This window comes from Homo sapiens, chromosome 11, assembly GCF_000001405.40.
Source record: "Homo sapiens chromosome 11, GRCh38.p14 Primary Assembly".
Lineage (NCBI taxonomy): Eukaryota > Metazoa > Chordata > Mammalia > Primates > Hominidae > Homo > Homo sapiens.
The window spans coordinates 64,589,368-64,612,892 of record NC_000011.10 but is presented as its reverse complement, the minus strand read 5'-3'; the positions used below and the strand labels follow the sequence as shown (position 1 = coordinate 64,612,892).

Sequence of the window (23,525 nt, the reverse complement as noted above, 5' to 3'; positions counted from 1 at the left end):
ATGAAGGTACTGTTTGTGAAATCATGCACCACAGGGTCACGTCCGCATAGAACTGTGTTTTCTAACCCCCATGAAATGCCCTGTAGGCTGGTGGCTTTCTTGCCCCTCACAGCCTGGGCAGGGCCTCCAGCTCACTGCTTAGTCTTGAATATGCTCAACCTCAATTCTAGACTCCCCTTTGGGGGTGGGCACACCTTGCTTGGGTGAGAATGGGGTTCTTGGGTAGTTCCAGTCAGGGGCCTTCTGTGCCCTAAGGGCAGAAGGGGGCTAACTTTGTTGGGCCAGCAGTCCCCAGAGGAAGGAGAGTTGGGGAGGAAGGGGAGATCAGGAATGGCTGGTGGTCCCCCTGGTCAGGGATGGCATTCTCTAGTAAGTGGGGCCCACATGCACTGAAATTCAGTTTTTCTTAGGATGCAGAGGAGTGTTGGGTGGGCGGGTGGCATCTGTGCTAAGTGTGCACCTGTGAGTATTTTCCAAATGCTGCAGCTGCCTGAAGTTGGGGAGAGGCGGGAGGCTGCCTGGGGTCCTATCAGACTCCTCTGGCTCCTAGGAGCACCCCATTCCAGGATGCATCCTTAGTGTAGAGCTGGACCATGAGTCATTGTGAGTCTGCACCCACAAAACCCAGCAGCACGGGCAGCGGTTGGGCTTTTGGCAGGGAGGAGTCTTTGAGGAGCCCGGTCCTCCCCTCCTCCAGGTCCTGCCAACTCCTCACCAGGACAGCCTCTTCTGATCCTTCCTGAACTGGTGTGTGATCCGGGAAAGCCCAGCACCCTACGTTAGGTGACTTGATTGCCCCAGAGCCTAGGCCGGGTTGAGTGAGCCCAGGGAAGGAAGTCCTCATGCGTTCTCATGGGTTCTCCAGAGCCTTTTATCTTGTGGAGAGGAAGTGGGGTGTGGGACACTGGGAGGAAACGGAGAGGAAGCCATGTGGGAGACAGAGGCTACCATGAGAAGGGGGCACCGAGGGGGAGTCATGGCAGTGTGGGGGGGTGTGGGTGAGGGGAGGACACCTCAGGAGATCGTACAGTCAAAGCCTTGGGCAGAGAAGGGCCCAGGGAAGCCCCAGAGGAGCTGCAGATGCAGGGGACAGGGCTGGGACCCAGATATGGAGACCAGGAAGCAGCTGGGGTTGGAGGGGCAAGAGGTCAATGTGAGCAGGCCTGGGAGGAGTCTGGGGGCAGAGGAAGGCTGCAGAAGGGTGACCCGAGGAGCCTGTGTGTCCCAAGGGCTTAGCTAGGGAAAATGGTTGTAGGGGGCTTAGGCTGGGTAAGACTTGTTTGTGGTCCAAGGCCTGAAGCCCCCATGCCCTAGCCTGGCTGGGGACAGCAGGTTGGTAGAGAGCCAAGCTCTGTGCCCTGATCAGCCTGTCAGCCCCTCTAGGGCAGGATGTGGCCTCAGCAAGGGCCTCCTGGTCTGGTCCTGTGCCCTGGGCCTGGCACTTTGCTGGGGCCCCAGCTATGACCAGCCAGCTTAGGCCAAGCCTTGACGCTGGGGTTTCCAGCAGCAGCTGGTGGCCCAGTCTAAGATGGAAGGTGGTGAGCTGGGGTGGGAGCTGGTTTGTAGAGAAAGGCTGCTGCCAAGGTAAGCTCTCCATAGTGCCTGCTGCCTAAGAGGGTGGAGGGGGTGGGGTGTTTAGAACTCAGCTGCTCTGGCCTGTGAGAGAGACGCCCACTCCCTTCCCTAGATACCTAGCCTGGCCTGGCTCAGAGGAAATGCCTGAGGAATATTACTCCCCTTCCCCTGGAAAAGCATAACGAGCCCCAATTCTGTGCCAGGCCCACTGCTGGAGGTTAGGGAGACAGATAGGACCCGGGCCGTTGGCCCTTCCCTGGCAGTGAGTACAAAGCCATGCCTCCAGGACAGAATTGGGATATGGTGTCAGAGACACTCAAGGCAGGGAGCATCCTCTGCCTGGAAGAGGAGGTGTTTGGCCAGACTCTGAGATGTCAGCAGGGAAGGGTGTTCTGAATAGAAGGCAAAGGTCAGGTAGAGGGCTGGTGGTATGGACCAGCAGGAAGGACCCCAGAGGCACTCAGGGTTCATGCAGGGAGGGGAACCCTGCCATGATTGGGCCCAGGTTACGACCGCTCGAGAGGCTGCCAACCCTCCTGAGAGCTGACAGCTGAGTTTGCCCCTTACCTGGAGACCAGGGTGCTGGCTTTCCTTGTCTGGATCCCAGGTGGGTACAGGAAGACATATTTGTTCATCCAAAGGCTAGAGGTCCCACAAGAGCCAAGCCTTGGCCTCATCCTGGGCCTGGAGCCTAATACCCCAGTTTTATAGATGAGGAAACTGAGGCCTAGAGACTGGAAGAAACTTGCCCACAGTCACACAGGAACTCAGTGACAGAACAGGTGTTCTGTCATCCAAGTTAGCATCCAAGCCAAGAGTCAAGCAGCCCCAACAGATTCCTGGAGGCATTGGGAGGATGACTTAGGTTTTCTTGGGCTCCTCATGAGATCTAGCCCTTCCCCGGCCTCACTCACCTTGCTGGGCACCTACACCTGGTGATCTTGGGAAGTCCTGCCCACCCAGGCCTCAGCATTCTTATCCATAACGAGCTGGGATCAGATAGTCCCAGCTCCACAAAACATGCTACTTTGCTCGTAGCTCAAAGTTTTTCACTGTGACTGAGCCTTTGGAGGGCCAGGAGCCCTGGGGTTTCAAAATCTAGGGTGTAGGTGAGCCCCTGGCCAGGGGAGATTGGAGTCGGGTGGGAAGAGCAGCCTGGGGAGCTCAGCAAGCCTTCAAGTTCAATGGAAAGGTCTTGGCCACAGGCTGGCTGGCGTGGCCAAGGACAGCTCTGTAACATTGCTGGAGCTTGTGATCTGAAGGTTGGCAACAGTGTTTGAACTCAGGGCAGAGGCAGAGGGCTGTGGGTGGGTGGGGAGCAGGAGAAGAGCGCCAAGATGTGAAGGTGGAATGTGGCTGGCCTGGCTGCAGTGGGGCTGCAGTGGGGCAGGCGGGACCTGGCAGTGGAGGCCCTGGGGTGCTTTACCACCAAGAGGCTGAGGGGCTTCTGGGCGTGATCTATGAAGACCACACCCTGCAGAGACCAGCGAGAGGCACTCAGATGTGGGCAGGGCTTAGGCTGTGCTGAAGAGAGAGCCAGAGAGGAAACCTCCAACCCTCGTCAGGCCCAGAGGTGCCCCTGCAAGAGGAGCAAGTCCTCCCACCAGCCACCTAGAGCTGAGCCCCAGCTCCCTTCTACCCCAAACCAGGAGGTTGCACAATTTTGGTTTGAGAGGAGGACCAGGAGGCTGATGGGAGTCACAGTTGTTGACTCAGTGGCTGATGGGAATTGTGTTCTACACTCCTCCAAGGACTGATGGGAGTTATAGTTCTCACCTTTTGGGGGCTGATGGGAATTGCAGTTTCTGCCCAAGGGACTCCAGTTATCAGACCTAGAGATGGGGAGACCCATTCTCCCCTCACAAAGCCCTCCCCTCTCATTCCCATGGGCCCTATTTAGCAGGTGCTTCCCTCCCAGATGGCTGTGTATGTATTTTCTTTTCTTTTTTTGCTTTCTTCTTCTTTCCGTTGTTTTGTTATTGTTTTAACTATAATAAGAGGGCCAGAGGCAGTCAAGCCCTGGCCAGGTCCTGGCGGCCCATGGGGGTTCTGGGGAGGGGGAGGGGGGAAGTCAGTGGGGGTCAGAGGTGGAGGGTGAAGAATGAGAAAGTTGGGGAGTTAGGCTTAGCTCAGGAACCATGTGTCCCTGCCCACTCCCCTCCTTCCTTGCCCCTCCCTACCTCCCTGCCTCTACATGGCTTCTCTCCACCCCTCCCAGAGTCCTACGGGACAGGACCCTGCTCCAGTGGTATCCAACTCCTCCCTGCCCACTCTTCCTCATGGGCCACCTCACCTCCCACTTTCGATGTCTCGCCTCCCGTGGCCACCCTGCAATTAGCTTTCCAAGCCCCCTCCCGTGGCCGTCCCCTCCCAAGACCTCTCACCCATGTAGCAATCCCTACATGGCTGCCTGTCATGTCCCTACTCTCTAAGCCCTCCTGCCCACTGTTCCTCCCTCCCCGACATGCTGACACCAAGTGGTGGAAACCACCCCTCAGCCCCAGCCTGCCCTGTGCAGAGTTCAGCTTTGTGTTGAATGAGGGGGAGAGGGACAAGTGAGGGCGGAGAGAGAGTTCAGGAGGAGGCAGGATGCGCAGGGAGCAGAGAGTGAGGGAGGGAGATACCGAACAGATAGACAGAAAACGTTGTACGGAAAAGTTGTTTTTTCTTATTTTTTTTCCGGGAGAACCCGCTTACACAGCTCTGTTTGTAATTTTTTTCTTCATGCTAAAATCACACGGCCTATTTGTTGATGTAAGTTGCCTGAATTCCGTGGTATGCTATCTTCTTTTTTAAAAACAAAAGCAAAAAAAAAAAAAAAAAGCAAAAAAAGAGAAAAATCTAGAAAAAAAACCCTAAAAGATATTGTTGTTAGGTTTGTTTAAATGCTGCTGTTGTATCTGTTTTTAAAGCCTTAAACCAGTAGAGTTTTTTTTTCTGTTTCTTTTCAATTTCCTTTCCTTTCTGTTCCTTTTGATTTCTTAAGACAAACAAAAGACCAAAACCCAGAGAGTCACAGAGCCCGTGCGTGGGGTGCCCAGGGCATCTGAGCCGCTGCCCGCTTAAAGCGCAGTGCTCGGCCGGCTGGCGGGCGGGCCCAGCCCGCTCTAGTCTCCGCCAAAGCCAATTGGAACCGATTTGGGTGTGTGAGGCTGTTGTTTCTCTCTCTGTGCCGGCCGCCTGCGCCCTGGCCCTCGCTGACGCCCTCTCTTTTCTCTTCTCTCTCTTGTTCTAGGAGGAGAGTTAATATTGCCCATTATCACGGAGGACTCCTTAGACCCCCCTCCCGTGGCCACCCGATCCCCCTTCGTGCCCCCGCCCCCTACCTTCTACCCCTTCCTCACGGGAGTGGGCGCCACCCAAGACACGCTGCCCCCGCCCGCCGCGCGCCGCCCGCCCTCTGGGGGCCCGTGCCAGGCCGAGCGGGACGACAGCGACTGCGAGGAGCCCATCGAGGCCTCGGGCTTCGCCTCCGGGGAGGTCTTTGACTCCAGCCTCCCCCCCACGGACGACGAGGACTTTTACACCACCTTTCCCCTGGTCACGGACCGCACCACCCTCCTGTCACCCCGCAAACCCGCTCCCCGGCCCAACCTCAGGACAGATGGGGCCACGGGCGCCCCTGGGGTGCTGTTTGCCCCCTCCGCCCCGGCCCCCAACCTGCCGGCGGGCAAAATGAACCACCGAGACCCGCTTCAGCCCTTGCTGGAGAACCCGCCCTTGGGGCCCGGGGCCCCCACGTCCTTTGAGCCGCGGAGGCCCCCTCCCCTGCGCCCCGGCGTGACCTCAGCCCCCGGCTTCCCCCATCTGCCCACAGCCAACCCCACAGGGCCTGGGGAGCGGGGCCCGCCGGGCGCAGTGGAGGTGATCCGGGAGTCCAGCAGCACCACGGGCATGGTGGTGGGCATTGTGGCGGCGGCGGCGCTCTGCATCCTCATCCTCCTCTACGCCATGTATAAGTACCGCAATCGTGATGAGGGCTCCTACCAGGTGGACCAGAGCCGAAACTACATCAGTAACTCGGCCCAGAGCAATGGGGCGGTGGTGAAAGAGAAGGCCCCGGCTGCCCCCAAGACGCCCAGCAAGGCCAAGAAGAACAAAGACAAGGAGTATTATGTCTGAGCCCCCGGCACTGCGCCCCACTGCCAGCTGCCCCTCCTGGGAGGGCCCGGGAGGAGGGTGCCACCCTCTCCCTGCCAGGGGCCTGGGGACCCTCTCCCTGGCTGCCTCAGGCTTCTCTTACGAAGAGGAAACGCAAAAAAAGAAAAGGAAAAACCCCGTGCTCGCCCCCTTCCTCCTGCCGTCCACTGCGCGGCCTCGTCAGTCCCGGGGCTGACTGTCCCTCTCAGCTCTGCGCCTGCCAGGCAGGGCACGTGCTCACAGCCCTGGGTTGATTTATTTTTTTAAGGGGGTAGTTTTATTTTGGTGGGGTTGGGTGGGAAGGAAGGCTGGGGGTTTTGTAAAGTGTCCACTGCTCGTCCTGTTAATTTTCCTCAATTTTTCTTCTTCTTCCTTCTGTCCCTCCTGCCTTCCTTCTCTTCCCAAGCCCTCCAATCCCCATCCCAGGCTTGCTGTGTCTCACTGTCCCCACCCTCCTTCCCTACTTCTTTTTTTGTGTGTCTGGTTTCTCCCTTCCTTTCCTCCCTTTGGGTTTCCAGAGTCGGTGGGAGAAGGGCGGGAGGGTGGGCCCGAGTGGCCCAGTGGGTGGGTGGGGTGGGGTGGGGCAAGTGCCCCAACTCCCCTCACCAGGAGAGGCACCTGCTTGGTGCCGCCCAGGGAAGGGGCTCAGGCCTGACGGAAGGCCTGTTCTGTGTGTGCCGCCGGGCGACGTGCATTGATGGGGAAGCTGCTGGAGGAGCAGGGGTGGGGGGTGGGAGGGAGGGGAAAGGCAAATGCAGATATATATTACAGACAAATACTCTAGATTCCACGAGCAGCAGCCTGTGGCACCCGCTGGGCGCGGGCAGCAGGGAAGAGGGAGCAAGGCATTGTCCACAGACTGCTGGGGTCACTTCTTTGCCCACGGGCTCCCTGCTCCCCCAGTTTTTTTTCTCTCTTTGTTAACAAATGTGTCTGAGTCTTGGAAAACACCCCAACCCCGGAAATGTGTGGGAAAAAGAAAACAAAAACTTTCCAAATTCCAACGGTCCTGTGCAGTTTTTTTGGGGGTGGGTGCTGTTAGATCCTGGCTTTTGGCTGGGGTCTGGGCCCACATGGGGGCCCACAAGAGCTGGTAAGTTGCTCCCGAACTTTTGGGTTGAGTGTGGCTTTGGGTTCCTGGGATAACTTGTCTTTGTCTCACAGTGTCCTGTATCCCTGCTGGGCTGAGGAACGGGCGGGAAACATGGCTGGTCTCTGGCCGGTTCACAGACCTTAGCTTCTCAGAAAGGCAGACAGATCCCTGGAGACCTTGTGTTGCCCCCTGATGGCTACTGGATCCACACCTCGGGGCATGTGTGCCCGGGCACAGACCTGGGTGCGGGACAGATGCTGCCTCATCCTTCAGCAGCCCTTGGAGGGAGGAGGTCATTCCTGGGCTTGGAGACCTTCAGTGGCTGCTCCCAGGTCTCGAGGTGAATGAGTGACTGAGTCCCAGTGGTCTCCTGCTCTGCCTGACTCTAGAGTCTGTGCTCCTTCCCCTTCCTCTCTAGGGATTTGGACCCTGGTACCCTACCTTCCCCCAAGTCCACTCTGCTTGACTGGGCAGCTGCTGGGACTGAAGGTGGAACCAGGGCCAGCCACCTCGTCCACCGTTGTTTACTCCTCTGTGGAGACCCTAACAGGTCCATGGTCCGGAGATGCTAAGAGATGGATCTGTATTTGTTAAGCCTCTCAGTCGCAAGGGACAGATAACCACGTGTACAGCATTGTCAGGAGAGGAGAGCGAGGAGGGTTGCGGACCTCAAGGATGGCAGTGGTGGGGCGTTGCACCACCTGGCTCATGAGACATGACTCAGCCATGCTGTGTCACTCAGGGTCCCCCCCTCGATCGGCTTCTCAGCCCTCCCCTCCGCCAGGCTTCCTCACACCCTTGGCTTGCCATCCCCTCCACTGCCCGATTCTGCATCTTGATTTTCTGTCTGCAGGGGGCTCTGGCTGTTGGCCAGCTCATCCTCGAGGCATTTTGCTGTTCAAAAGCCTGGTCCATCTTTAGGCCTGGCTGCCTCCATGCCTGCAGGAGCCCCACCCTTCAGCTGGGGAACATCCCTTAGTGGGAGTGGCAGGTCCTGACCTGAGCAGCCTCCAGCTATCTCCAGAGGCCAAGGTCAGCCTCATCTCCTTCTCTTCCTTCTCTCCATCCCTGAAGGAGGCTTTTGTCTTGGGACCCTCCCCACCATGGTGCCTCTCAGGACCTCTTGAGATTCCTCCTGCAAAATCCTAACAAGGGTGAGAGAGCAGAGCTCCAGGTGTGGATTTCTATGGACTCAGCCTCTCCTTGCCCTTCTGATCCAGCTCCTGAGGGGTGAGGCTCCGGCCCTGCTTGTCCCCCAACTGCTCAGTCTTGGAGCCACGGTCAGCATCATTGAGGTCAGCTCTAAGCACCTGTGGAAGTCTGGGAGAGGCCCTGGTTTGGGGCATTCTTGCTAGGATGTCCTCCCGTTCCTGGGCTGGTGATTGGAACCTTTGGGGCCCCCTGCCGCTACTCTCTCTGACCAAGGGACGGAGACAGCTTGGATTCCCCTCCTCCCATCACAACTAGCCAAAGAAACAAAGACAGGCAGGCAGGGGCTCCTTGGTGTTAGGAAGGGAAGGAATATCCTTACTCCAGAAATTTCTAGAATGACCCTAAACAGGATAGGGGACAGTATATCAGGGTAGGGAGGCAGAAAGCGGGGCAGTCCAGGAGTTGGAAGGATGGACCCCAGTCCTGCTGGTTGCCATATGACTGTGGGACTTGGTCTTTCTCTCTGCATAAGGCAGCTCAGGGTTCCCGTCATTCAAGGGCTTGGTTATAAGAGGACAGATCCTACCCTCAGCCATTGACTCAGTTTACCCATCTGTAAGAGATGGTCACCTGATTCTCAGTTTATCATCTTGTGCCTCTGATGTTGGACTTAGCATCTGGGACTGAGCTGAGCTCCTCAGGGTCTGGCTGGCCTGGCAGTGACCCCAGCAGTGTCCCAGACAGGCCCAGTGTCCAGGGCCTGATGGTGGCTGAGGTTCCAGGCATCCTGGCTCCTTGGCGGGTGGTCCTCACAGGGATTTGTCAGGATATTTCACCTCAGGGTTCTCAAGGACAGGGATTTGGGGAAGAAGTTCACAGACTTGCCCTCATCAAGCAAGCCCCCTGGAGAGGGAACACCAGCCCAGCCAGTGCCCAGCTCTTCCGGATAGAACCCCCCTCTTGAAGGCAGATTTGGAGCCCGTGGGGCTTGGTGCTGCCTCTTCCCACACATCCTCCTGGGTGAGCTATGGGCTTGGCTGGAGGCAGGAGAATGGATAAAGTGAGTCCTGAGCCACTTTCCTCATCCCTGCTGCCTGAGGCCTCCACCGCCATGGGGATGACACTGATGGGGTAGTGATGGGTTCTTCTTTCCCTTGGCTCCTCCATAGCGGGGTGCCCCCACAGGCTCTGAGGTTGAAGCCTCCGTGGTGGGCATCAGAACAGAGTGTGTCCCAAGCATAGGCTTGCCATTCGGGTGGGCTCGAGGCTGCTGCTGAGGGGGGTCCCTTCTCCCTTTGCCGACACCCACTTGGCCACAGCAAGGCTGCTCACTCGCCAGAGGGACAGGGTCCTGGGCCCTCCCAGCTTCCAGGGCCTCTTGAGTTAATCCAGGAGTGACTTATGTTGGAAGCAAACAGGGCTTGGGTCCTGGAGGGTCGTGACTATCTGGAAGGACCAGGGGCAAGGCCACTCAGGATGTGGGCAGAGGGGTAGTCCAGACCCCCTTGGTGAGCTGGAGGGATATCCCAGAAGACAGGAGGGCCCATCTCCCACCAGCCCTGGGTTCTGCCTTCTAGAAACTTCTGGATACCCTGAGGTCCCAAGAATGCTGTTCAAGGGTTAGAAAGGCCGCTGGGCCTCAGCTGGGCAGCAGATAGACAAAAGACAAAAGGTCCAGGGCAGGCTGAGATGACCTTGTATTCAGGCATTTTCACAAACAGGATCCCTGCCCGGGGTTCTTTACTGAGGGGTGGCCCTAGGTAGATGGCCAGAGGACATGGCCCCCCAGAGGCCCAGGGGCTGCAGCTGACAAGACCAGGCCAAGCAGTGACCCCCTTCCTGTGGGGGCAAAGAGCTGCTTTCTGTTTTCCCATCCCATATGTGTGCATGTGCATGTGGGCACATGTGTGCACACACGGCTAATGTGTGTGTAGGGGTGGTAGGGCACTGCCCTCGGCCAAGGTGCCTGGAAGCAGCAAGGCAGGCACAGGTGGACCCAGAGACCATCTGAGCATGGCCCCAGGGTGGCTCAGGTGACTGGGCTGGCTGGCTGGGACCCGGCTGGGCAGCAAATGGCTTCTACCTGCACCCAGACCTCTGTGTGCGCTGCACTGCGTTTCCCCGCGAGCCATGCCTGTGGACACTGTGGGCCCCTGGCCTTGCCGCTGCCAGGAGAGTTACTGGACACCCAGATGGTGAGGCTGGGTTGGGAGAGGCTGGGGCTGTTGTGGCCAGAGTGGGGCTCTGGAGGCCTACTGATGGGTTTGAATCCTGATACTGCCCCCACCTAGCTGAGTGTCATGGGCAATCAGGTTCTTCAAGCCTCAGTTTTTTCATCTGTAAAATGGGGCAATGTTTGCCCTACAGGATTCAGGAAAAAGTGAAGTGAGATGATGCTTTGAGGTGTCCAGCACAGCACCGGGCCCACAACAGGCGCTGGAAACAGCAGCCACTCTGGCCTGGCACCTGGGGCAGGCAAGCTGGCCTGGGAAAGACCCACCCCAGAAAGCAGCCCCCAGCACTTTCCTCCTTCCCCCGACCCGGGAGGACCCTGGGGGCTCATCACTTGAGTCAGTGAGGGGCAGCCATTCATTTGTTTCTTTATTCAATCCCTCGCACCAATGCCTCTCTGGCCCAGCGCTGTGTGGGGAGCTGGGACATGGGGTCATGGGACTGCCCCAACCCTCTGGGAACTCATAGGCTGGCAGGGTGGGAGGAGGCAGGCTTGTGGCTGTAACTGTGGGTAGGAGTTTCACGGGCATCTCAGGCTGGCCCTGGACCCCTGGAAGGGGGGCTGGGTTTGGGGGTTAAGTGGAGTCGGTCAGGGATGAGGGTGGGAAGGGGACAGCAGGCAGAGGATGTGGCGGGCAGGTGGCTGAGGCCTGGAGGGACATGGGGAGGGGCCAGGGGCCAGGCTTACAGGGCTTCTGGGTAAAGCTGTGGAGCTGAGACTCTACTGCTTGTGTGGAGCTAGGAGAGGTCTTGACCATGGATGGTGGTTAGCTCTGAGCTCTGGGCAGGTGGACGGGTGTGGGGGGACAAGTGGCAGTGCGGAGTCAAGCAGAGGGTTGGCAAGGCCAGCTCGTTCCCCTGGGCCTGACCCCTCTGCTCTCCGAAGCCACGAGGGCAGGGCAGGGTGATGGTGCACTGGGTCACCTCCTGCCAATCAAACTGTCCTTTTCCCCTTCAGTATTGAAGGGGGCCCCTTGGACTGTGAGAGGGGCAGGGCTCACCTGGAGGGGCAGCCCTGGGGGAGAGTGGGGACCTCAGAGGGCAGCCTCTGGGCCTCTGGAAATGGAGGTCTTTGCTTTCCTCCTGCCTTCTCCAGAGAACAGAAGAAGTCTCTTCCTCTGACCGTCCCATCGCAGGTTCCCCAGGAGGCTAAAACTGTGTGGATTTTAGGACAGAGTTCCCCAGCGTGCCATGTGTTGCCTTCTTTACTGCCCTGTTCAGGAAGCACACGGGGGTGTGTCTTGGGGTGCGGAGTGGCCCCTGACCCTTGACCTGTGTCCATCCCAAGGACTCCAGGGAATGCCACCACCCTGCTCTCGGGGGCCCAGAACTGAGCTCCCGAGCATGTGATGGGTTGGGGGTGTGTGTGAAGTGACTGCCCTGCCAGCCATCAGGGCTTTAGAGGTAGAATCTGGGGCCTGCGAGGGCCCCCAACAATGGCTGGATCTCCCTCTCACAAAGGACTATCCACTCTTCTCCCTTTGGCCTCTCTCAGGGTGGACCTGGGGGAGCTTGTCCATTTGTGCCTTGAATGGTGGAGTGAAAGGCAGAGGACAAAGCCCTAGGTCAAAGCACTGCCAGCCGGAGACTGAGCCCTGGGTTGCCACTCTCCCAGAGATGTACTGTGTGACTCTGGGCCAATCCTATCTGTCTGGGCCTCTGCTTCCGCCTCTGTCAAGTGATGGGGATGGGTGAGCAGGCTGCCCTGTGCTAGGGTTCTCTGGTGGGAGGGAGGGGTGGTCCCGAGGCTGGGTCCACTCACTGGTTCTGCACATCTTGGATGGTGTCGGGCAGCGGCAAGCTCTGGGTCTCGGGCAGAAGCAGTGCGGCCAGGCCACTCAGCACTGGCACCGTCCCATACACCAGCAAGGGCAGCCAGGGGCCATGGACACCCAGCAGCCGGACCAGAGGCCCCAGGATGGCTCCTCCACGGGCTGCCATCTGGCCCAAGCCCACTGCCGTCATCCTGCCAATGCAGATGCACCTATAAGCGCCTGGTCTGTGTGCCCACAGCCTTGATCCTGCACGCCGGGCCAGGCCCGCTTGGCCCAGGGAGACCCAGGGGGTCAGGCTGGGCTTGGGATGCACCTGAGCAGCCCCGGGGACCACACAAGAGGGAGATGCATGACATGAACATCTAGGTCTGGGAGAAGCCAGTCCTGCCTGGGGGTGCCCCGCAGCTCAGCCCAGGGCTCCCCTCTCCTGGAGCCCAGGCCCAGCCTCACCTGAGCACAGTGGGGAAGAGCTCGCTGCTGTAGATGGTGATGCAGGTGAAGGCAGCCCCCACCCCGCCCAGCCCCAGCACGGCCAAGGCTGAGCGCAGAGCCCCCATTTCTGTGGGTAGAGATGGGATTAGTGAGCTTGGTGGGGGGCCCAAGATCAGATGAGGGCTCCCTTCAGCCCAGGGGGCTTGTCCCTGACTTTCAGGCCTCTTTGTAAATGTTTGGGAGTCATCTCCATCTGGGTATCCTGTCCTGAGTGGCCTCATGGCCACACCCACAATCTGCTCCACGCTCAGACACCCAGAGCCAGCCCCGAGGAGTCCTTCTTGACCCCGTTTCCCTCCTCCTGCAATCCATCACTTAGTTCTCATTTTAACTCCACACTTTTCCCTGGTGCCACCCATGCCACTCCTTCACCGCTCTTGCTGGCTCAGTGCAGACACTGCCGTCTGTCCCTAGACGGCTCCGGCAGCCTCCTTCCTACCAGGGTACCTGCTCTAGTCCAGCACCTCCAAGGAGGGGTGCTGTTCCCAGCCCGAGACCCCCCCAAGGTAGGGAAGTCTCTGGTGTACAGCTTTGCCCCCTCACCGTGGGGCACCAGCGTGTTGGCCAGAATGCAGAGCCCTGCCAGCAACAGGGATGCGGCCAGCGTGGGGCGGCGGCCCAGGTGGCTCAGCAGCAGCAGGGCGCCCATCTTGGCTGGGATGTCCACGACACCAATGAACATTTGGAGCAGGAAGATGTTGCTGCCCAGGGCCTGCAGGTCCAGGGCCAGGCCGAAGAAGGTGAAGCCAAAGGCGAACCTGGGGCAGGGGTCAGGGAAGTCAGGGTGGGGGTGGGGGGTGGGGGGGGGTGGTGGGCAGGGTGGGAACAATGGGCGGTGGGGGCTCAGGGTGGGGGTGTGCTGCTCTTAGCTCAGTGTTCTGGCCCTTCAGCTGCCAGCTCTGTGGGGCGGGGCCAGTCTCTAGACTATGTTTATCAGGTCCCCTTGCCAGCATGGCTTCCCTTTGGGTTTGGCTGATGGGAGGTGCTGGCAAGAGGTTGGAGGAGGGGAGAAGCAGGGGATTTCTGCCTCCCTCTCTGCTTGGGGGCTTTGTCTGGGAGTGACTATGTCCCTTCCGTGGCTCCAGCTGCCACTGAACAGTCCTTCCCTCCTTGGCCTTGGCGGTTTTGGTCTTTGCTGGATGGCCATGGGTCCTGGGCTCTGATAAGCCCTCTCCGCCCTCCCTGGCCCCACACCAGGCAGGGGTGCTTGCGGCCCATGCTGTTGCCTGGATCACCCCTTCGTCATGCCTGGCTCCCAGCCCTCCCAGGAGCTTTGTTAGGGATCCTACCTACTGCATCTCTTTTATCTGCCTTGCCCCTTATTAAGGCCCCCTCAGTGAGCCCACCCGGCCTGGGTTGTCTCCTGTCGGGAGTGACTGACAGAGGGGAAGGTGTCGGTGTTGCAGGCCAGTGGGACCAAGCGGAGCCAGCAGAGGCCGGGGCCGTGTGCCAGCGAGAGCCCCGATTCCAGGTTCCCCTGTGGAGGTGGGGTTGGGGGAAGGGCATCTACCAGCACAACGTGGAGATACAGGTCCGGAAGCGCAGTCCGGGCATGCGGAGCAGGGTGCCCAGGCTGGCAGGAGGCTGGCCCATGCTCAGCTCCTCCCGCATGGCTGAAAGCAAGACCTGTGGAGGCGGGGGTGGGTGCTGTTGGCACTGGGGGCGCCAGGCACCTCCTCCTCTCTGAGACCTTCTTCCCAGGGAGCTGAGGTCCTTGGTGGGTCTCCCAGGGTGCCCTATGCAGGGGCAGGGAGAGGGTCTGAGGGTCCGGGTTTGAGGAGGACCCAGCCTTACCTCAGGGGTCAGGGTGTCCTGCACTGCCCCCTTTCCGTTGATGGCAGCCACCCTCCACAGCTCCTGCAGGCCCCAATCCAGCCTGCCTGTGGTGAGGAGCCATCGTGCCGACTCTGCCAGCCACCTTAAGTGGAGGGGGCGTGGGAGGGGTCATTGCCTGTGGCCCCCAGTGCCTGGCCTGCGCCAGCCTCAGACTGCTACCCTGTACCCACTGCTCCAGGCCCAAGGCTTAGGGCGGCTGAGGACCCCGAAGGGCGTTGTGGCAGCCAAGCCCTCTTGGGCACCCTCCTTCCCCAGCAGGAGACCCCTTCTGCTGCCTTTCTCCCTCCTAGGGATTGTGGTTGGGATGCTGTTCTCATCCTGGGGCTGGCTGCTGGGATGGAGGGAGGGATGACTCTGTGGAACCCTTCCTGCCTCCCTCCAGACCCCACAGCCCTTCCCCTGCCTCGCTAGGAACCCGGCCTGGTTGCAGTCAGGGCCCCTAGGGCTACAGGACCACTGGATCCTGGCCACTGCCAGGACCTTGGCCATCTCCAAGGCGACTGGGGTCCACCCCTGTCCTGGCACCTCCCATACCACATGGCCTTCCTGTCCACCCCATGGCTGCATCTTCCTCCTGCAAACAGCTTCACAGCCACCCCGGGGCTCAGGCTGGGACCAGGGTCCCCAACAGCACCAGCGCCCTCTGGCCGCACCCTGTCAGCTGATTCCCACACCTCCAGGACCCCTCGCACCTGAGTCTCTGCTATCTCGGCCTCATGAGCCCAGCACCTCCCCTCCTTGTGGCAGGACCCAGCCCCTCACACTGACCTGTCTCCCACTACCCTCAGTGTCAAACCGAGCTTATGCCACACCGTCCCGCCCCGCCTGCTGAGCGCCTGCCATGCCCACCACTCTACACGGGGCCTGCCTCTAGGCCTTGGCTCCTGCAGGTCCTTCAGCCAGACGTGTTGTCCCCTATGAGCAGCCAGGGTGGGGCCACCTGCCCTACACCCACCGGGGCCCTGAGCTCCTTAGGGATTTGCAGAACAGAGGGGAGAAGTGGAGATTCCAGGTGCATATTAGAGATAGAGCTGATGAAGCCTGGTGACCCAGTGGACTTGGTGGGGGGATGGTGAGGGAGAGAGAGGCGTCATGGCCACTGTGACTCTGGTGAGTTCAGGGGCTGCTCCCCACGCTGGGGAAGACTTGGGGAGGAGAGGTCTAAGGAGATGTGTGTGGGGATGAGACACCTATAATGGAACCGTCACGTGGGCAGTTGGAGGTGTAAGGCTGGAGGTCAGTGGGGGAGGCAGGACCAAGTGGAGATTTGGGGTCTGCAGTATTTGGAGGGAGCTGGGGCTGCAGGCAGGGGTGAGGCTGCCTGAGGGAGAGAGTGTGGACTGTGCCCGCCACATAGCAGGTACCACAAGTGATGGTGGCCAGATCATTGTGGGTGACCCTGGGAAGGGCAGTTTGGGCGGAGAAGAGGGAGAAAGCTGACTGGAATGTGTTGTAAGTGACTGGGAGGGAGAAAGCGGGGTCCCATTCTCAGATGTCAATACCCCAGGTTGTTCGTCAAGCCCTAAGCACAGTTTGTGAGGCCACGATGTGTGGGATTCCCTATGAGCTCCACGTGGGCAGAGACCACATATCTGCTCATAGCTGGTGTCAGCCAGCGCCTGGCACATGGTAGGTGCTCAGTAGTTATTTGTTGAATGAATGAAGTAATGAATGAATGAATGGGCACTTCTTCAGCCCTGTGGGAGCACGTCTACCAAGGAAAGGGGGGTGCAGCTCTGTGGCCCTGCATCAGCATGAGAACCAGGAGGGGTGCCTTGGAATTTTTATCACTGACCTTTACCTTCCACTCTCTACCCTCTTGGTGTTGGGAGTCAAGCTGCCATCCCAGAAGGCTCTTGTCGGACACGATTGCCTCCTTGTGGAGCCACTGTATGAGATGTAATTTTCTCCTGCTCTGAGGAGTGGCTGCAAATTGTTACTCCACTCCAAGCTGTTGGGTGGGAGAGATTTGTGGACTCAGCCTTCTTCTTAGTGTGGGTGCGGGCACCTGCTCACCACTGGGCCTCTGCTGTGCTCCTTTCTACAGTGGTCCCAATGACCAAACAACTACTAAGTGCAGGGCCTGTGTATGAATGATCCAGGCTCAGCCCTGCCCTCAAATGGCCTCCGTCCATCCATCTATCCATTCATCCATCCAGTTCATCCAATTAATCCACCTATCCATCCATTCAACCATCCATCCAACCATCCATCCATCCATTCCATCCATCCATCCATCCATTCATCCATCCATCCACCCATCCATCCATCCATCCATTCAACCATCCATTCAACCATCCATTCAGCCATCCATCCATCCATCCATCCATCCATCCATCCATCCATCCATTCCATCCATCCATCCATCCATGCATCCATCCATTCAACTATCCATTCGACCATCCATCCATCCATCCATTCCATCTATTCCAACTATCCATCAATCCATCCATCCATCCCATCCATCCATCAATTCCATTCATCCATCCATTCCATCCATCCATCCATTCAACCATCAAACCATCCATCCATCCATCCATCTATCCATTCCATCTATTCCAACCATCCATCCATTCCATCCATCCATCCATCCATCCATCCATTCCATCTATTCCAACCATCCATCCATTCCATCCATCCATCCATCCATCCATCCATCCATCCATCCATCCATCTTTTCCAACCATCTATCCATTCATCTATTCCAACCATCCATCCATCCATTCCATCCATTCAACTATCCATCCATCCATCCATCCATCCATTCAACCGTCCATCCATCCATCTATTCCAATCATCTATCCATCCATCCATTCATCCATTCCAACCATCCATCCATCCATCTATTCCAACCATCCATCCATCCGTCTATTCCAACCATCCATCCATCCATCCATCTATTCCAACCATCCATCCATCCATCTATTACAACCATCCATCCTTTCATTCCACCCATTCAACCATCCATCCATCTATCCATCCATTCAACCATCCATCCATCCATCCCTCCTTCCATTCCATCCATCCATCCATTCCAACCATCCATCCATCCATCCATTCCAACCATCCATCCATCCATTCATTCCAACCATCCATCCATCCATTCCATCCATCCATCCATCTATTCCAAACATCCATCCATTCCATCCATCCATCATCCATCCATCCATCTATTCCAAACATCCATCCATCCATCCGTCCGTCCATCCATCCATCCATCCATCCATCCATCCATCCATCCATCCATTCAACCATCCATTCAACCATCCATCCATCCATCCATCCATCCATCCATCCATCCATCCAACCATCCATTCAACCATCCATCCATCCATCCATCCATTCCATCCATCCATCCATCCATCCATCCATCCATCCATCCATCTATTCCAAACATCCATCCATCCGTCCATCCATCCATCCATCCATCCATCCAACCATCCATTCAACCATCCATTCAACCATCCATCCATCCATCCATCCATCCATCCATCCATCCATCCTTTCCATCTATCCATCTATCCATCCATCCATCCATCCATCCATCCACCCATCCATCCATCCATCTATTCCAACCATCCATCCATCCATCCATCCATCCATCCATCCACCCATCCATCCATCCATCTATTCCAACCATCCATCCATCCATCCATCCAACCATCCATTCAACAATCCATCCATCCATTCCATCCATCCATCCATTCCATCCATCCATCCATTCCAACCATCCATCCATCCATTCCATCTGTCCATCCATCCGTCCGTCCATCCACCCATCCATCCATCCATTCATCCATCCATCCATTTATTCCAACTATCCATTCATCCATCCATCCATCCATCCATCCAACCGTCCGTCCGTCTGTCCGTCCATCCATCCATCCATCCATCCATCCATCCATCCATCCATCCGTCCATCCATCTATTCCAACCATCCATCCATCTATCCATCCATTCAACCATCCATTCAATTCATCTATACAATCCAATCCATCTATCCACCAACTCACCCATCCACTCATCCAATCCACACATCTGTCAACCCATTTATTTATCTGTCTCTATCTATCTACCTACCTACCTACCTACCTACCTACCTACCTACCTATCTATCTATTTCTACTTACCTAACAATTCATCCATTCAACAAATATTTATTTAGCACCTACTATGTGCCAGGTGCTCGGCAAGGGCCACGCCTGATTTGTTTCAGGGCAGTGCTGACATTTCCTAACCTCCCACACATGCCGGCCCTCTGTGGGGACTGTGGACTCCCCTCTGATGAGTGGATCCTGGTCCCTGTCTTCCAGCAGACAGACACAAGCATTGATTCTGTCAGCCCATGAAGCAGACTGCGGCTGTGCGCTGTGTGTGCGGGCATGTGTTGTATCTTTCCACTCGCTCCCCTAGCCTAGCTCAGTGCTGCCATGCCTGGCACACACAGAGGAGGGGCTCAGAAGATGGGCCTGGCAGCATAGATGCCAAGGCAGGCAGGGACAGGAGAGGAGAATAGGCCAAGAGATGAGGAGGAGGGAGGAAAAGAGAAGAATAAGTAGGAGAAGGAGCACTTGAGAGGAGCAGGGGAGGCGCCCTGGGGACCCAAGCCCTGGTTGAAGTGGGTGTCTTGGGTTTGTGGGTGGTACACTCTGCCACGCTCCTGGCTTTCCTCCAGCCCATGCACCCCTGGCCTCTAGCACTCCCCAGCCCCCAGGGAAAGGAGAGTCTCCCATTCCCCCGGGTGGAGAGTGGGCAGGATCTCCTCTGAGGAGGGGAGTGGGGCACAGCACCCACCAGGAGTACAAAAAGCAGAGGAAGAAGGGGACCGAGACCACCAGCTGCAGCAGTGTCCAGTCCCGCACACCGTAGGCCACTGCAGCTGTCAGGCCATGGCCGAAGCTGAAGCCCAGAGAGTTCAAGGTCATCACCAAGGGTCGGGCCCGTGCCGCCGTCCACTCCATCACTGCAAGGAGACCGAGTGGTTCAGCCCTGGAGCCTGCATGGAGCCCCCCTGCATGGCGCCAGGTCAGAGACCTACGGAGAGTGCCCGTGTTCATCATGACGCCTGCCACGGCAAAGGCCAACAGGAAGCGGAACAGGCAGTACACGGGGAAGGCAGGGGCGAAGGCAGCTGCCGTACCCATCACAGCCATCTGAAGGTAGCTCCAGGTTAGCACCAGCCTGCGCCCAAACCTGCGGCACAAACCAGGAAGAGGCAGGGTCTGTGGCTTGCCACGGCACAGGCCACGGGGCTCTGGAACACCTAGAGCCCACCCTATGCTTGCCCGCTGAGCTGAGGCGGACACTGAAGCGGCACCTGGGTGAAACCTACATTCTCCACCTACGGAACCCTCCGGAGCACAAGGAGAGTCCCGAGGCCAGAGCCAAAGGGAATGGGCTCCAGTCACCAGGAGCACTCAGGTTGCTGCTGAAGGAAGGCGCATGGCCAAGCCAGTTTTAGCAGTGAATGTTTGCTGGGGAGCAGAAATCCTCTACAACCCCCAGAGTAAAGTTGGTGAACTCGAGGTTCAGAGAAGGTTCCAGACCTCCCTACCTGGCACGGCTGCAGGGTGGCTGGTCCGAGACCCACACCCAGCAAGTAGGGCGCTTTCTAGACTTGGTTTTGTGAGGCTGGTTTGGGGCCAGTCGGCCAGGGTCCTAGGAGAGCAGGGGTTGTGAGGGGAACTGGGACCTGCCTGGACTGGGGGTACTCACCTGTCTGAGGCAGGGCCGCACGCAGCAGCTCCCACCAGAATCCCAGCCAGGTAGATGGACTGGGCCATGGGCTTCAGAGCATGAGAGTCACACACGAGGTTCCACTGATGGGAGAGGAGGAGGCTGAGCTCAGGAGGTTGGGAGAGCCCCAGCAGAGAGGCAGAGGAACCGCATGGGAGGGCCCCCAGGGAGCTGGGTGCGGTGGGTGGTCTGGTGACCTCTAGGGTTTTAGAGCAAGACCCTGTGGAACAGTGAGGGCACCCACAGGCATAGTTTGGCCTTTTGAGGAGTATATCCTGCCACCCTCTGCCTGAACTCTTCCATGGCTCCCTATTGCCCAATGGGTCTCTAGCCACATCTGCCCCTCTCTCCTGTCTCTCCACTTGGAAGCAGCCACCCAAGCTGACACCCTCACCCCTCTCCCAGAGGTTGCTTCCCTCCTGTTCTTTATAAAGAGGTTCTTCCCACTTGTTGGGATGAGCTGCCCCTCTCTGCTTGCCTGGCTTTGCCTGGCGCCCCATCTGGGAGGCAGCCTGGGGTAATCCCTTACTCTGTGTGCTTTGGTCTCGGGGAATCCAGTGAATTGTCACTGAGTCCCCCTGCTGCTGAGTTGCCTGGAGTCACGGCTGACAGGTCAGCAGGGCCAGGACAGGGTGAGGCCGGTGAGTGTCCAGGTGCCAGCATTTAGAGGTGCCCGCCCAGGTGCCCCCCGCACCTCCAAGAGCCTGGGCTGGCCCCATTTGTAGACTGATCCCTGCCGCCCACTTCCCTGTGTGTGGCTGACGAGGGGCTGAGAGGCTCGAGAGTGAGTGGGGCCTGGGGAGGTGGGTCCCTCCCAGGACTGGACCTTTGAGTCTGACCCACCGTGATCCATGACTGACCTCCAAGGTGGTGGGACTCGAGTGGCTCTGGGGGAGGCCCTACCTTGGCCACGATTGTGGAGGTGAAGATGCTGCGGTCATAGACCCAGCCATCCACACACGGCTCCGTGTCGGCCTCGCTCCAGCTGGTGGCCGTGGCATTGGGGTCCAAGAGCTGCCACTGTGGCTGGCGGAAGCGGCGGCACTGGTGGGGCCTCTGGTTGGGGCCCGGCGGGATGGAAATAGCCAGGAGGGCCTCAGGACTCAAGCTCCCTAGGATGCTGGCCTGAGCCGTGCTGTTGTCCAGGAGGGGTGCCCAGCAGCGGTGGCTGGGCACGGCGGCCGAGAAGTTCTCCAGCATGCTCTGGGTACACAGCCACATGATGGAGACCATCAGAGCCATCGTCTGGAGAACCTGGAACCTGCCCAGGCCACCCACGAGGTCCAGGAGTTCAGAAAATGCCATGGAACCTACTCAAGGGGCCCAGAAGAGGGGCCCACTTCACAAAGGCTGGCCCAGGGCAAAGAGGCCAGGGCAACGGGCCTGTTTCCCCCACGGTGGTGCCCACAGTGGCTTCTCCAGCCCAGCGGCTAGGCTTCACAGACTCGGGGCCGGAGGCTCAGGCTCTCTGGTCATCTGCCTGCTGGTGTCACTTGGGGTGGCTCCAACTGGGCCCTGAGGCCGCGTGAGGTGATTCCGAGACCTCCAGCATCTCCCCAGAGAGGCAGCTGCTCCAGACCTCCCGGGAAAGCTGAATTTGGAAAGTAGGGAATGTGGAGACTGAAGACTTTAATTTTAGACTGGAATTAAAGTGTGACCGGTGACACTTATGGAATCGAGTTTAGCAATCATTTCCTTGGTCAAAGTTTAACCCGCGTTGAGGCAGGCACAGACGCGAGGGAGGTGCAGCCTCCTCTGCTTGGGGGCCAGGGCCGGCCTGCTCTGTGCCAGGTCTTGGGGAGGCCTAAGTTTTTCTCCTGGCGGCTGTGGGATGCCAGGGCTGCCTGCTCCCTTCGGTGCCCCTGTGTGCCCACCTCCCAGAGTGGCTGAGCCAAGAGAAGGTGGGCCAGGGGATCCCCCTAATTTGGGGCTGGGGCAGCTGTGCAAGTCTCTGTGTGGGCTTGGGTCACTGGCAGCTGCCCAGCCCCTGCGCCTCCCAGGCTGTGTGGCCTGGCCCCACCCGTGGCTCCTGCCTCCACTCACCTGCTGTGGTTGGCGTCCTGTGCCCGCTTTGCTGTTACCCTGTCCTGAGTCCTCGGTGGAGCTTCCCAGCATCAACAGACACCCCACAGACTCCCCAGGTTCGGTGTGCCCAATGCCACCCTGAGATCTCTGTCCCCTCCCCAAATCTATGCCTCCTGCAGAGCCCCACCTCAGCTATGGCCTCTCATGTCACAGTGTCTGGCCTGGAACCCAGCGTCTTGGTTCACGCCTCCTGCTCCCTGCCTCCCAAATCCACCAGGGGCCAAGCCTGGCTAGTTTTGCCTCCTAAGGATTTCTCTCTCCCACCTCCCCCACTCCACAGCTGTCCCTGCCCTTGTCTTTCTGCCTCAACTCCTGCCCCTGGACCCACCACGCACTGCGAGCCCTTGGGTCAAATCCTGCTTAAAAGCCAAGGGGCTCCCAGTCAACAACAGCTAGTGGTGACTTACTAGGGCAGGTGAGTGGACAGCAGTGTGTGCTGATGCAGGGTGTGGGGTTCAGGAAAGGCTGGACCGAGGCCAAGAGAACCCCCTTGGTCTCGATAGCTAATTCTGTAGGCGAAAGGGCCAGAGAACACAAAGCAGTTAAAAAGTGTGTGTGCATGGCCGGGCGTGGTGGCTCATGCCTGTAATCCCAGCACTTTGGGAGGCCGAGGTGGGGGGATCACTTGAGGTCAAGAGTTCAAGACCAGCTTGGCCAACATGGCAAAAACCCATCTCTACTAAAAATACAAAAGTTAGCTGAGCATGGTCGTGGTGCACAGCTGTAATTCCAGCTACTTGGGAGGCTGAGGCAGGAGAATCTCTTGAACCCAGGAGGCAGAGGTTGCAGCAAGCTGAGATTGCACCACTGCCCTCCAGCCTGGTTGACAGAGAAAGACTCTTATCTCAAAAAAAAAAAAAAAAAGAAAAGAAAAAAAAGAAGTGTATGTATATGTGGGTGTGTGCACATGTCTGTGTATGTGTGCACATGTGTTTGCACAAGTGCATGTGTGTACATGTGTGCATGCGTATATGTGCAGTGCAGCAGTGATGGCAACCCAGGTGTTTGCTCTTATGAGCTTTGGGCATAAAACTCTCCATTTGAGGCATAAATGCCCCTCCCATCTGCTTCTTTTTGCTTCACCGACTCTTCCCGCTGCCCCTCCACATGGCTTACCAAGCCAACTTCTTTGCCTCCCTGGGCTCTGCACCTTGAGTCATCCACTGCTTCCACCACATGCCCTGTACATGCTTTCTCAGTTCCCACCCTTGCTTATGTTGGACCTCCAGCCTGGAATGCTGTCTCCAGGCTCACCCTTAGGCCACATACTGTGTGGAATGGGCACAGTCCAAATACTCCTCCTCCAGCGGGCTCTCTTCACTTATTCCTGCCTACAACTAGGGCTCAGAGTTGTCAGTGGAATCTCATCTTTACACTGTCCTGCATTCTTCTCAAACTCCTGACCTCAG

At 58.0% G+C, this 23,525-nt stretch overlaps 2 protein-coding genes across 16 annotated transcripts in view, besides 1 other annotated feature; one reads left to right on the top strand and one right to left on the bottom strand.

Moving 5' to 3' along the window:
- Positions 1–6,719, top strand: part of NRXN2 (neurexin 2) — a 117,024-nt gene extending 110,305 nt beyond the window's left edge. For 7 of the 10 annotated variants that reach the window (NM_001376266.1, NM_001376265.1, NM_001376267.1 and 4 more), the window contains one exon: positions 5,393–6,719. In NM_001376266.1, coding sequence (NP_001363195.1) covers positions 5,393–5,697 — 305 coding nt within the window. In that variant the 3' untranslated portion in view covers positions 5,698–6,719. Of the gene's footprint in view, positions 1–4,810 lie in introns of all 10 variants that reach the window. The other 3 variants (NM_138732.3, NM_015080.4, NM_138734.3) reach the window with 1 other exon arrangement.
- Positions 7,295–8,096: an enhancer, noted in NCBI's record as "H3K4me1 hESC enhancer chr11:64372269-64373070 (GRCh37/hg19 assembly coordinates)". NCBI's record gives its function as "activates a minimal SCP1, AML or CMV promoter by ChIP-STARR-seq in naive H9 embryonic stem cells {active_cell/tissue: H9 hESC(naive)}" and the evidence as "EXISTENCE:reporter gene assay evidence [ECO:0000049][PMID:30033119]".
- Positions 10,549–21,673, bottom strand: SLC22A12 (solute carrier family 22 member 12). Of its 6 annotated transcripts, none has more exons than NM_144585.4 (10): positions 20,935–21,673; positions 20,011–20,114; positions 19,334–19,488; positions 19,090–19,258; positions 14,254–14,377; positions 13,970–14,085; positions 13,003–13,217; positions 12,418–12,526; positions 11,955–12,158; positions 10,549–11,405 (listed from the first exon to the last, which is right to left on the bottom strand). In NM_144585.4, the coding sequence occupies exons 1-10, from the start codon at positions 21,334–21,336 to the stop codon at positions 11,342–11,344; spliced, it is 1,662 nt and encodes a 553-aa protein (NP_653186.2). In that variant the 5' UTR covers positions 21,337–21,673; the 3' UTR covers positions 10,549–11,341. The 6 variants fall into 6 exon arrangements, with proteins under 6 accessions (NP_653186.2, NP_001263255.1, XP_006718494.1 ...); NM_001276326.2 differs by having other exon boundaries at positions 19,436–19,488; XM_006718431.5 differs by having other exon boundaries at positions 19,090–19,488; positions 20,935–21,234; positions 21,346–21,673.

What these genes read in the sequence shown, in the direction of transcription:
- SLC22A12 (XM_006718430.5), bottom strand. Translation starts at nt 21,336, where the DNA reads ATGGCATTTTCTGAACTCCTGGACCTCGTGGGTGGCCTGGGCAGGTTC. An exon ending in CAACACGCTGGTGCCCCACG is followed by an intron (nt 12,527 to 13,002) that starts GTGAGGGGGCAA and finishes CTCTACCCACAG; the next exon opens with AAATGGGGGCTCTGCGCTCA. An exon ending in CTCTTCCCCACTGTGCTCAG is followed by an intron (nt 12,159 to 12,417) that starts GTGAGGCTGGGC and finishes CTGCATTGGCAG; the next exon opens with GATGACGGCAGTGGGCTTGG.